Source organism: Homo sapiens, chromosome 5, assembly GCF_000001405.40.
Source record: "Homo sapiens chromosome 5, GRCh38.p14 Primary Assembly".
Lineage (NCBI taxonomy): Eukaryota > Metazoa > Chordata > Mammalia > Primates > Hominidae > Homo > Homo sapiens.
The window spans coordinates 135,969,044-135,982,162 of NC_000005.10; the positions used below are offsets into that span (position 1 = coordinate 135,969,044).

General features: G+C 38.7%; 3 annotated features.

The window, feature by feature from the left end:
* Positions 4,317-4,611: an enhancer, noted in NCBI's record as "tiled region #2274; HepG2 Activating DNase matched - State 5:Enh". NCBI's record gives its function as "activates a minimal TATA promoter and a strong SV40 promoter by Sharpr-MPRA in HepG2 cells {active_cell/tissue: HepG2}" and the evidence as "EXISTENCE:reporter gene assay evidence [ECO:0000049][PMID:27701403]".
* Positions 4,317-4,611: a silencer, noted in NCBI's record as "tiled region #2274; K562 Repressive non-DNase unmatched - State 22:ReprW". NCBI's record gives its function as "represses a minimal TATA promoter and a strong SV40 promoter by Sharpr-MPRA in K562 cells {active_cell/tissue: K562}" and the evidence as "EXISTENCE:reporter gene assay evidence [ECO:0000049][PMID:27701403]".
* Positions 6,243-6,744: an enhancer, noted in NCBI's record as "NANOG hESC enhancer chr5:135310975-135311476 (GRCh37/hg19 assembly coordinates)". NCBI's record gives its function as "activates a minimal SCP1, AML or CMV promoter by ChIP-STARR-seq in naive H9 embryonic stem cells {active_cell/tissue: H9 hESC(naive)}" and the evidence as "EXISTENCE:reporter gene assay evidence [ECO:0000049][PMID:30033119]".

Below are 13,119 nucleotides of genomic sequence, written 5' to 3' on the forward strand. Positions count from 1 at the left end.
GAATTAAGGTGTGTGATGTGATGTTTTGATATACATATACACAGTAAACTGAATGCTACAGGCAAGCCAATTAATGTATTCACCTCTTCACACAATTACCTTTTTTATGGTAAGAATACTTAAGATCTACTCTCTTAGCAAATGTCAAGAAAGGTTATTAAGATTTATGCCTATGTTTTCTTCTAGGAGTTTTATAGTTTTATCTCTTGTGTTTAGGTCTTTGATCCATTTTCAGTTAATTTTTGTATATAGTATAAAGTAAGGGTCCAAATTAACTTTTTTAATGTAGATATCCAGTTTTCCCAGCACCGTTTGTTAAAAAAGATTACTCTTTCTCTCATTAAATTATCTTAGCACCCTTGTCAAAAATCAATCGACCATTCTGGATTCTCAATTCTGTTCCATTGATCTATATTTCTATTCCATGCCAGTGCCACAGAGTCTTGATTAATGTAGCTTTGTAGGAAAATTTGAAATCTAGAAGTGGGAGTCCTCCCACTTTGCTCTTCTTTTACAAAATGGCTTTGGTTATTCTGGATCTTTTGCATTCCCGTATGAATTTTAGAGCCATCTTGTGGGTTTCTGGGAACAAAAGCAACTTGAATTTTGATAGGGATTGAATTGAATCTGTAGATCAATTTAGGGAATACTGCTGTCTTGACAATATTAAGTTTTTCAATCAGTATTAAGTATTGCCATTTTAACAATACTAAGTTCTTCCCATCTCAAAGAACATGAGGTGTACTTCCATCTGTTTAGGTTCTCTTAAATTTCTTCAATAATCTTATTGCTTTTAGAATATACTTTGTGCTTCATTTGTTGGCATTATTACTAATATTTTATTCTTTTTGATGCTGTTGTAAATGAAATTGTTTTCTTAATTTCATTTCCAGAATGTTCATTTCTAGGGAATAAAAATACAATTGCTTTTTGTATATACAATTGTGCATTGGTATCTGTGGGGGATTGGTTCTCAGATCCCCAGAAATATCAAAATTTTAACATACTCAAGTCCTGCACTTGGCTCTTTGGAACCCATTTATACAAAACATCTGGCCTCTATCCACAGGTTTCACATCCCATGAATTCTGTATATTTTATCTGCATTTGGTTGCAGAGGTAGAACCTATGGATATCAAAGGCTGATTGTATTTATTGAAAAAAATCTGCCTTTAGGTGGGCCCACATAGTTTAAACCCATATTTTTCAAAGGTCAACTGTATGTCTTATATCCTATAACCTTTTCAAGCTAGGTAACCATTAGCACTAACACTTTTTATTTCTTGGTGGATTCTTTCAAATTTTCTGTATTCAAGGTCATGACTTTTTGTTCCTCCATTCCTCCATAACTGACTTTTTTATGTTCAATACACACTTTTTGTATCTTTTCACTTCCTTGTCATTGTTTTACTATATGTTTTTGAGTTATTTCCTTAGTGGTTGCACTGGTGATTATTACTTAGTTTATGATAATATAATTCAGATTAATACCAACTTAATTGTAATCATACATAAAAACTTTGTCCCTACATAGCTTCATTCCTTCTCCCTTCCTTTGTGCTTTGTCATAAAAATCACATCTTTCTATGTTGTATACCCATCAACACATGAATTTATAATTATTGCTTTATTTACGTATGTACTTACTTTTACCGGTGTTCTTTATTCATGTAGATTCAAGTTACTATCTAGTGTTGTTTCATTTATGCCTAAAGGAGTTCCTTAGCATTTCTTGCAGGCAAGATCTGCTTGCACGAAATTATCTGTTTTTGTTTATCTTTAATTTCTGAAAGATAATTTTGCTAGATATAGAATTCTTGGCTGAAAGATTTTTTCCTCCTTTCAGTATTTTCAGTACTATGTCATCTCACTGCTGGCGTCTATGGATTCTGATGATAAATCAACTGTTAACTTCACTGAAAATCTCTCATATGAGATGAGTCTCTCTCTCTTGTTTTCAAGATTTGTCTTTCAATGATGTGATTATAATGTGTCATCTTTGAGTTTTTGAATTTACCCTACTTCAATTTTCTCGAGCTTCTTGGATATGAAGATTAATGGTTTTTATCAAATTTGGAAAACTTTGAACCATTATTTCTTTAAATACTCTTTCTACTGCTTTCTCTCTCTCCTATCTTTCTAGACACCTCCCATTATGCATATATTCTTGTGCTACAGAGTGTCGCACAGGTCTCTGAGGCTCTCTTTATTTTTCTTCATTGTTTTTTCTTTCTGTTCCTCATCCTGGATAATCTCAATTAACACATCTTCAAGTTTGTTGATTCTTTCTTTTATTTGCTCAAATCTTCTATTGAGCTTCTCTCGGGAAGGTTTTTCAGTTATTGTGCTTTCAAACTTTAGAATTTTTATTTCATTCTTTTTTATATGTAATTTCTATTTATTGGTATTATCTATTTTGTGAGACATTTTTCTCACACTCTCCTTTAGTTCTCTATACATGGTTTCCTTTAGTTCTTTGAATATATTTTAAGTAACTGACAGTATTTTGTCTAGTATGTGCAACATCTGGTTTCCAAAGGGACAATGTCTATTGGCTGCTTTTGTTCCTGTATGTGCCATAATTTCTTGCCTCTTTGTGTGTCTCATACATCTTTGTTGAAAACTCAATATTTAAAATAATATCATGTGGCAATTCTGGAAATCATATTCCCTCCCCCACCCTTCCCAAGTCTCCAAGGTTTGTTGTTGTTTCTGTTTTATTGTAGTTGTTGATTTAGTTTGTTTACTGACCTTTCTGAACCAATTCTATAACGTCCATAATCTTTGTCATGTGTGGCCACTAAAGTGTCTGCTTATGTTTGGCCAGTTAATATTTAGGCAGAACTTTTCCTAAACACCTGGAATCAATAAGTATCCCTGTCTTTGCTTAGGGGTTTATTGTGTGTGCTAGGGGATGCCTTCAACATTCAGCCAGGCAGTTTACAGCTCTGTCTAAGCCTTCACTCCCTGCTTGTGCAAAGCATCAAAGTCAGCCCAAGTTAATGCCTTAGGGCCTTCTCATGTCTTTCCTGAGCACCTGCACAGCTCTAGGCATGGACACATGACTTTGTTCTTTTAATTCCCAGGAATATGTAGGAGTTTTTCAAAGTCCCTATGGACAGCTTATTTTTTATTTTTATGCTTTTTAGTTAGTCTATTGTTTACCCCAACTTTTATTCACCATCTCAAGCAGCTGTGGATTTAAGCAGTTGTTTGTAATTGTTTTTCAACAACCACTCTGAGGGAAAGGCTATTTGGACAGGGCAAGCTCCAAGTCAGTTCAAAAACAGACAGCCTTCAAGTGGGGTCCTTGAAAGACATACTGACAGTCAAATAATGACAATTCTTGGAAATGAGCTTTAAAAGAGCTCAAGCTCTATTCTGCTTCTGCCAGTTGCTGCCAGGCTACTGGTTTCAAAGGTAGGCTGGTAAGCAGTGGGTAGGTTTTTACCGAGTCAAAATACCACAAAACTTACTGTTCTTAGCAAGATTCAGCCATTTTTGTTCAGTAAGTGCTCCCAGGATTAGTTCATTTCCAGAGCTCTGAAAAAGTTGATGCTGACAATTTTTGCCTGTTTCTTATTATTTTTATGAAAGATGGAATTTTTAGAGGTTCTTACTCTACCATTTTTGCTGGTATCCATGACCATTATTTTTATATTAAAACTAATTTGGACATTTTATGGAATAGGATGCAAAAATCTACATAACTTAGTAAGGATGTAATATAAAACTTCAAAGACATTGAACTCTACTAGCAGTAGACATCTCCACTCTGTATTCAGTACTTACATGAAGTTGTGTGACTGTATCTCACAACCAGATCCACAACCCTACGGAAAGTATGCATGTAAAATGTACAAATGTTCATATGTAGAACATATGTAGAATGTAAGTGTCCTCCCTCTTTCTACCTACCGAGTGCTAAAGGAAGAGAACCAAAAGGAGATTATCTCTTATAACTTGGTAAATTACATCGTCTACCTTTACAGCTTACAACTATTCATATTTACCTAAAGTTGCTCTCAAGAATTCTTGTGAACTGATTAACTCTCTGTCTCTGTCATATCTTTTGGCCCAAAAAAACTGACTGATGATCATTTACATGAAATAAAATAATATTACTCTAGCCTATGATGTTTAAATTAGACACAAACTTTTACCAAAAATGGCTTTTTACATCCCATTGGGTGCAAATAGGCAATCAAGAGACTCTACAATTACTCGTTATTTAAAACTGTTGTATTCAAATGAGAGTTTCTTAGTTTTAAAATTCTGTCTGAGAATTTTGTGTGGAAACTGACCATGTGGTTCTAAGATTTCAGAATGTACTAAGCCCCAGTCAATAGAAAATCTTCATTCTATCAAATACTTACAGAACTGTAGTGGGCATAGTTCCTCACTTAGCTTCACCATGTGCTAGTACTTTGACCAGCAGAAAGCAAACAGCCCGGGGCCACCTAGGGAAACAGACTTACATTACTCCAGACCATGGTAAACAGATGTGTTTGGTCCACTGAGCTTTGAACCCTGAAATTACACCACACACAGACATAGTCAGAGAGTTGCCAGAGGTTACAACACACACATTCTTGGCACCATTGTTCTGATTGACTCAGGCCAGTGGAACATCTTAAGCTAGTGGTAACTCAACAATGATAATGGAAGAAATGAAGGTAGCCAGTTCAGGCATGAAAATCCCTCTCCTGCTACTGATACCTCCTGAAAGAAGAAACTGGCAAGAAGGACTGTCACAGTTGGTTACAATACTACTTCACCTTTCAACAACTCAGTCATTCCCACACCCAGTGTGCAGTGCGCATGCCACTGAACTCTGCACAGAAAGAACATGAAGGTGGGTAAGGAGGAAAGCAAGCCAGTAAAGACTGAGAACCTGGGAGGGGTCAAGCCCTGAGGTGAGAATGAGGGTGAGCATGGACCCAGGAAAAGGGAGACAAGTGGAGGAAGTGCTGGGTGTCCTGTAGCTCACTGAGCCTGTGAAGCATTGTAGAGGGCATTGGGAGCCAAGCCTAAGCCCCCTACTTCCCTGTTTCCAACAATAAAGTTGGAGTTTCTGAATTTCATTTGACTCTAGGGAGATCTGGAATTGTTCCAGGAATATTTCTGCTGGCTGCTATGAGAGAGAATAGGGAACTAATTATTGGAGGTTTAAAAGCATTTGGGCAAGAACTAAATACATTCATGTTTTTATCTGTTTTCAAAGTTTACTTTAAAATTTTTTATGAGCACATATATCAGATATAAAACAATCCCTTCTGTTATTGCTAAATAAGAACTGTCAAGGAAAGAAACTTGGTTGGATCTGCTGGACATAAAAGAGAGAAAATGTGACCTTCAGAGTGCATCACCCTACCTAAATTGAACTTTAGCCAGGCAACAGGGTAAACAGAAATTTTCAGGGAAAATGTAACAGTCCTAGCCTGGAAACATCTTCTGTGATTTCAAGTTCAGACAGTTTCTTTCTGTTGGAGATGATGTTTTCTCTTGCAATTAACAAAAGAGCACCCATCTGTATTAGGGTTCTCTAGAGAAACAAAACCAATAGGAGCTATACATATTTATAGATAGGTAGATAGATAAATACAGTTATGTTAAGGAATTGGCTCATGCAGTTGTGGGAGGTGGCAAGCCCAAACTCTGCAGGGCAGGTGTCAGGCTAGGAGACCCAGGGAGGAGGTGATGTTGCATCTTGGAATCTAAAGGCAGTCTAGAGGAAGAATTCCCTCTTTCCTGGGGGCCTTCCATCTTTTTTCTCTTATTGCCTACAACTGATGGGATGAGGCCCACTCACATCATGAAGGGTAATCGGCTTCATTCAAAGCCTACTGATTTAAATGTTAATCTCATCTTACAAATGCCTTCACAGTGACATTTAGACTGTCATTTGACCAAATATCTAGGTACCATGGCGGAGCGAAGTTGACACAGAGAGCTAACCGTCAAACAAACCATTGTAGTGCCTTTGGTTCAGGAGCAAGACTTTGACTATGTCCTTTGACTTCAGGAGTTGAACTAGAACAGGAGCAGAGCTTGGCGTGCCATAGGAGCCTGCCGCTGTGAGTGCCTTCATGGGATTTCAAAAAAAATTTCCTGTTCTTGGTTTAATTTATGAAAGCTTTATATACCTAATTACAATCTCATTGAAAGCTTTTTCCATATGGCCTGTTTAATTTAAAGTTTTGATGAGGAGTTACAGGAAAAATAAGACGTAATGAAAGGATTGAGCCAGGGAAACATCCCTAATTCCCACATTCATTAGCATGTTTTGCATTTTGTGAGCACTCTGCATGTGTCTTTATTTTCCCAGGGCCAAACCATACAGAAACAGAAGGGCTACCAGAGAAAAGCGAAGAGTGGGTGGTATGCTGGAGCAAGCAGAGAGACTCCCACCAAGGGAGAGAAACTCAGGTTAGCGAGATCTCCACATTTTCAATAACGAATAACAAAGCCTGTTCCAATGGATCATTTAAGAGCCATGTTAGCTGAAAGAGATTTTTTTACCCATGGTTTTTGAAACACCAATCACCTATTAAATGGCTGAGTGCTTTTGTTGCTCAATATCAAATATTTTGGAATATTTTTTCATTGTCAAAAGTTGCAGTTTGTTCCTTTCTTCCCAAAAGTTTGTTGTTTAAAAAAATAAAAAACTTTGCCTCGCCAAAGGCAGAAGGATTGCATGTAAATCTTCCATTTAGCAGTTCAGGGGACTTCATTCCTCAGTGTGCTTCTTTTAAAGAGAACAAAGCACCTTTTCGCTTCTGCACTTACTGCTTCATTTGTTCTTGCTCTTTGCTTGTGCTAAAACTGAAGCTCAGACAAGTTAAGTGATGACTGTTTGACCTTGACTCCAGGAGGCTGTCATCTATATCCATTCTCCCTTCCCAGGGGCGGTCTCTTTGGGATCACTTCTAATACCCACTCTCTGGGAATCACGGGAGCTCCGGGGCTGAATACGTGTAACAGAGATTTTTCCATTGTATGTTTCACATTCACCTAAAGCACAGAATGCCTGAAAGCAAAGACAGTGCTCTCCTTTGTGAGACACTTCAAATGGGAGAGTCAGAGGACCTAACGATTGAGCCTCACCTGAGGAGGTGATGTGTAAATGCGAGGGAGTGGTTTGGGACACAGGTGAAGAAAGAATGAAAATCAAGAAACAATTTAAAGTGGAGACGAGGTACGTTGGGGAGCTCATGTAGAATAGCCCCAGTCTCCCGAGATGAGGTAAGTAGAAGGTGTGAGGATGGCGAGGAAATGAATGTGAGTTTGAGTTAAACACGTTTGGGCTGGTCACTGCAGCTGATGTATGGCAACTGGTCAAAAGAATTGCCACACAGCCTGGCTTCCCAGCGCCCTCTCCTCTAGTGTTTGGCTGCCCAGGAGCCACAGCACAAGGAGGTAGCAAGGTCGCTAAAGCACATGTTCAGCAAGCTTGACCATGAGTTCTAGACTAGAAAAGAGGCAAATAAATAAATAAAAGGCAAGAAAGAAGCCAACTGACAACAAGGGAGAAGTTTTAGAGGCTAAAGCCATAAATGAGGTAAGCCATGGCAGGAGGGCTCTGAATACCCACTTTCTTTCCTGAAACACCTTCCTGTACCAATCATCACCATACGTCCTTATGAGTTTTGACTACCCCGAACACGCTCTTCTCTTCCTTCCCTTCTACTTAAATGCCCTTCCCATCCTTTAAGTTTCAACTCAAGTCCTACTCACTCCATGAGGTTCTCCTACTTGTTTTTAGATTTTCTGCACTCCTTCTCTGAACTCCTTCAGAACATTTTTCTAGGACACTTAAATTATTTCAGAATTATAGTCTTATGTTGTATCCTTTGTATAGATCTCATTTACCTGTGAGAATGCAACCTCTCTAAGGATAAGAACTGGGCTTCCCTAACATGGTCAAACGCTACTTTAACCCAAACATGCTTAACTTTTTTAAGTGTTGGTTAGTTATCCAGTAAATAAATGACATTACTACCATAAACTTATTTTGAGACTATTTGGTGAACTTTGTCAGATTTTTGATGTTTGAGAATTTGCAATATGCGTCCCAGTCACCCATGAAATGTTTAAAATATCTGTCAAATAATTCTTATTTCCAATATTATCTCTATAAACCATTTGCCCCTAATAAAATATTCATGGGAGCAGGGATCCCAAGCATTCATTTGCACAGTTATTAAACTATGACAGAATCAAAAGAACCAAGATTTTCTTCAGATGTTTTACATTTTCTTGGATTAAAAAATTGAATAAATTTGTATTATCTTTTAATACGGTGACCAGCATCTTGCAATAAATAAATACTATGTGTTAGGTTATGATGAAGAAAAATTAGTGTATTGTACAGAGGGAATTTCTTCATGGACCATAATGGCCGCCAAGAGGTCAACTCTGCCTCTAAGGAGCTGGTGGCCTTTCTCCCTCCGTTTCCCTGTGCGATGATGCAAGGGAGGACTTGCAGCTTCACAGTGCAGAGCAGTTGGAGCCCTGAGCCGTCCCGTTGCACCGCCGCTCTGTGGCCTTCCGCTAGTGGGCGCCGCTGAGCGGACTTCGGCGCTTCTGCCTCAGCACTCCAGAGCCCCACAGCCTGCGTCAATTTCCAATCCTGACTGACGCATGTGGGGCTGAAATGGCCAGGATTGTGAAAGTCGGTGGAATAATTCGATTCCATCAGCTATTCTAAAGGTCTGCCCTGGCCCTCTGGTTTTGAGTCATGCCCACACTAGAAGTTTGCAGTTTTGCCACCATGGCCTGTTGCCATTGAAACAAAGTTCATCCTTGGTGGAAAATGCTGATCTTCATAGAGCACTGCTGTCTTTTTTATTAGGATGGTTAATCCCTTCCTACATGTTCAGGGCGGGTACGGGCCTCCCTGGGCTTCTGGACTAATTTTCACACGCAAAAGCTTAGAGATGACTTGGGTGGTAGAAGTTCAGAGCGGGGAGAAAGCTTAGGAATCGTTCTAGTCAAATCCTCTTCTTTTACAGAAGAAAGTCCAGTCCAGAAAGAAGGGATTGGTCCCGTAGCCATCCAGCCCCTCAGTGACTTAGGCAGGGTTGAAACTCGTAGATAACTGACAGGCAGAGGTAGCACCAAAAAGGGACCCTCAACCAGAGGTTCCCAGCACCTTTCATTACCTTAACTGTGCTCTGGGAGCCTTCAGTGCTGTGGATGGGGTGTGGATTGCAGCCTGCCTTAGTCTGCTTTTGTGTAAGCCTTTATTGGCTGCTCAGTATGGGTCAAGCAGTGGACGAAGCTCTCATAGCATGTATGTCTCACTTAATCCGAGGCCGTGCCATCTGGTGCTACAGAGACAGGATCTGGAGCCAGCAGACCTGGACTCAAGTCCCAGCTCCACTTCTCAAGAGCCACAAGGATTTGGGCAAGTAACATCCCCTTCCCACACCTCCCTTTCCTCTGCTGAAATTGGAGACCATAGTAGAATCTCCCATTGGGTGAGATAAAGCATATAAACCACTTAGCACAGAACCTGCCTGATAGGAAGTACCTCAGGAATGTTAGCTTTTGTTTTTTTTATCAGTCTTACGCACTAGTTGTCTTCATGTTGATATTCATAGGAGCCAGCTAAATGTTCTATTTCACATCTATTATGTAAATGTACTATTAAAAGTGTATGCAGCTATAGATGTGTTAGTAACTGCATCGTAATCACCTCTATACAAATAATGTTTTTGTGAGATGAATGCATAAACCAAAATATTTTACAAATTATTTGTAAAAAAAAAAGTCTATGATATTCTTCAAAAACAGATTATTTTCTCGTGATGACTCTCTTTGCCTCCAAATTTTAAAGTGTGGGCCAGGCGCAGTGGCTCACACCTGTAATCCCAGCATTTTGGGACGCTGAGGTGGGTGGATCACTTGAGGCCAGGAGTTCGAGACCAGCCTGGCCAACATGGTGAAACCTCATCTCTATTAAAAATACAAAAATTATCTGGGTGTGGTGGCGGGTACCTGTAATCCCAGCTACTCTGGAGGCTGAGGCAGGAGAATTGTTTGAACCCAGGGAGTGGAGGTTGCAGTGAGCAGAGATCACACCACTGTACTCCAGCCTGGACGATAGAGCAAGACTCCATCTCAGCAATAAATAAATAAATAAGTAAATAAATAAATAAATAAAGTGTTATGATGCTTTTTATCTGGTGTATTTTCTTGTTTTAATACACCAGATAAAAGGCATCATCACACTTTTTTCTGAGAGTGTTTTCTTTTTAAGTATTGGCATTGTTTATGGCTCTGACTAAATGTTCCTTTGGTCTTTGGGATTATACACTTTTTAGTCTGTAGGAGATAATTAATTGCAGTTAAATTTCTTCTTCACAGAGGGGACAGTGAAGTCTTTGATTCCCTGCATTGGTGAATATGAATGAAGGTGCTTCTCAGAGCCATGCATTAGAACTCTATCACAATATATCTACATGTTTACAAGTTACATAAATTCTTTCCTTCCTGATAGCCATCCAAGTTAGCACATCACAACTCAAGGATTCTTCTTAAATTCCCCATGACAGGCTCAGCACTCAAAGCAATAGCTATTTGCAGTTTGGTGCATTTTAAACCTGAAAGCTGGGGTTCTAGATATAAATAGCATACACAGTTGGACAACGGCATTACCATCAGGGTGAGATCACTTCCAGGAAAACACTGAAATATAGCAATGGGAATAACATCTGGCCTTTCAACAGTTGTGTTTGATTTAGACTTGGACATCATACTTGGAATAGATGCTGTATTTATTAATGACCTCAGTTTCCATGCAACTCACTCATCTTAACTCAAAAAAGCAAGACCTCTGCAGCCTATTCATTAAAAGTAGTATGTTTAGGGTATGGGTGCAATTATAAAGCCAAGTCAAGTAAATAAACTTGCCTGTTTCTCCCTGACCCATTCAATCCCCCCTCATACTACACAAAAGGAATATAGGCAAAGAGGAGTCCTTGGGAGTAAAATCTGTCTTTTTCTATGTTGACGATTGTCTGGGTCTGAGGGAAAAATCCATTAAACAAGATCAAAATCCCCCTTTATTTTAATATCTAGGTAACATTTTTATCTCTCTTGTGTAGCAATAGAATCTTCGTCCTCCCTTTATTTTATTTTATTTTTTTCTGGGCACATGGCAACTGAAATAAAGACTCCATTCTCAAATTTTTGTTGAGCTAGGTGTGAAAGTAACTAAGTTCTGGCTACTGAGATATAAGCAGAAATAGTACCTGCAGATTCTACAAAGGGTTTTTTAAAGGGAGGTTGTGAATCCCCTCGCTTCCTTTTTTCTCCTTCCTGTGATTGGGATGTGTTTCAATGGCTAGAAATTTGAGCAGGCATTTGGACAGGAGATCGCCTTAAAAATGGAAGATATATATAGTGGAATAACAAGGTAGAAAGAGCCTGTGTCTTTGACACCATGGAGGGTCTTAATAGTTCTAGACAGGGAACTTCCAGACTATTATGAGAAACAGTACACAAACAGTAATGTGCATAAAATGAAAATGTACAGTTCGATGATTTATCAAAAAGGAAAGCTCTATGTAACTACCACTTGGTCAGTGTTTTGTAAATATTCCATGTGCATCTTTTACATTTTTGGTATGCAATGTAGAAAATGTGTCCATTCTGTCAGTTTGCTAATCACGTTGTTTATATTTTCTATATCTCTACTGGATTTTTGTTTATTTGTTCTGTCAGTTGTTGAAATAGTTGTGTAACAATTTCCCACTATGATTGCACATTTCTGTTTCTGTTAGTGTTGGAAACTTGATTCATGCATTTATATTTTGAGGCTCTTTTATTAGATGCATGCAATTTTAGAATAGTGACATCATCCTCTGAGTTGAATAATTTAGCTTTTTGTAATGTCACTATTTATCTCTGATAATGCAGTCTACCTTAAAGTCCTTTATCTTTGAATATTAACCTAGTGGTTTCCCTGTTATCTTTTTCAACCCTTTATTTACAATCTTTCTGTGTCTCTGTGTTTTAGACACAGCTCTTGTAAACGGTATATATTTTAGTTTTGCATTATTTATTTATTTATTTATTTTTGAGAGAGGGTGTCAGTCTGTCACCTAGGCTGGAGAGCAGTGGCGTGATCTCAGCTGACCATCTGGGCTCAAGTGATCCTCCCACCTCAGCCTCCTGAGTGCTGGAACTAAAGGCGTGCACCACTATGCCTGGCTAATTTTTGTATGTTTTGTTGAGATGGGGTCTCACTGTGTTCCCCAGGCTAGTCTCGAACTCCTGAGTTTAAGCGATCTGCCTGCCTTGGCCTCCCAAAGTGTTGGGATTACAGGTGTGAGCTACTGTGCCTGGCCTAGAGTTTTGTATTTTTTTATCAAGTCACATAATCTTGGTCTCCTAAATAGAACATTGCTATGGTTTGAATGTGTCCCTCAAAATTCATGTATTGGAAACTTAATCCCTAATACAACAGTGTTGGGATATGGGGCCTAATAGGAGGCAGAGTCCTCATGAGTGGATTAATTCCGCTACAAAAAGGGCTTGCAGAAGTGGGTTTGGACTCTTCTGCTATGTGAGGACTTGCACTTGTTCAAGTTGCCATCTTGGGAGCAAAGACTGGGCCCTCATCAAACAACTGAACCTGCTGGCACCTTAATCTTGGACTTCCCAGCCTCCAGAGCTGTGAGAAATAAATTTCTGTTCTTTATAAATTACTTCACCTTTGCTATTCTATAATAGCAGCACAAAATTGGCTAAGACACATGTAGTCTGTTTCAGCCAGCCTGCAGAAGCAGAATGCATCCCTATCCAAAATTTGGTTTGAATGTTGAAACTGATGACACCATACATACACACCAAGAAGGTTAAAGGTTTACTACTTATATAATTAAGGTTGTCTGGAAGAAGAGGTCAATCTTGGAAGATCGGTTAGAATCTCAACCAATCACTTAACCTGTGATATGTAGACCAGCCTCATTGACATAATCTCAAAACATTTTTTAAAATAAAACTTTAATTTTAGAATAGACTAGCTTTAGATTTACAGAAAAGTTGCAAACATAGCTCAGATACATTTTTATTAACTGAAGTCCATACTTTACTCGTATTTCCTTAGTT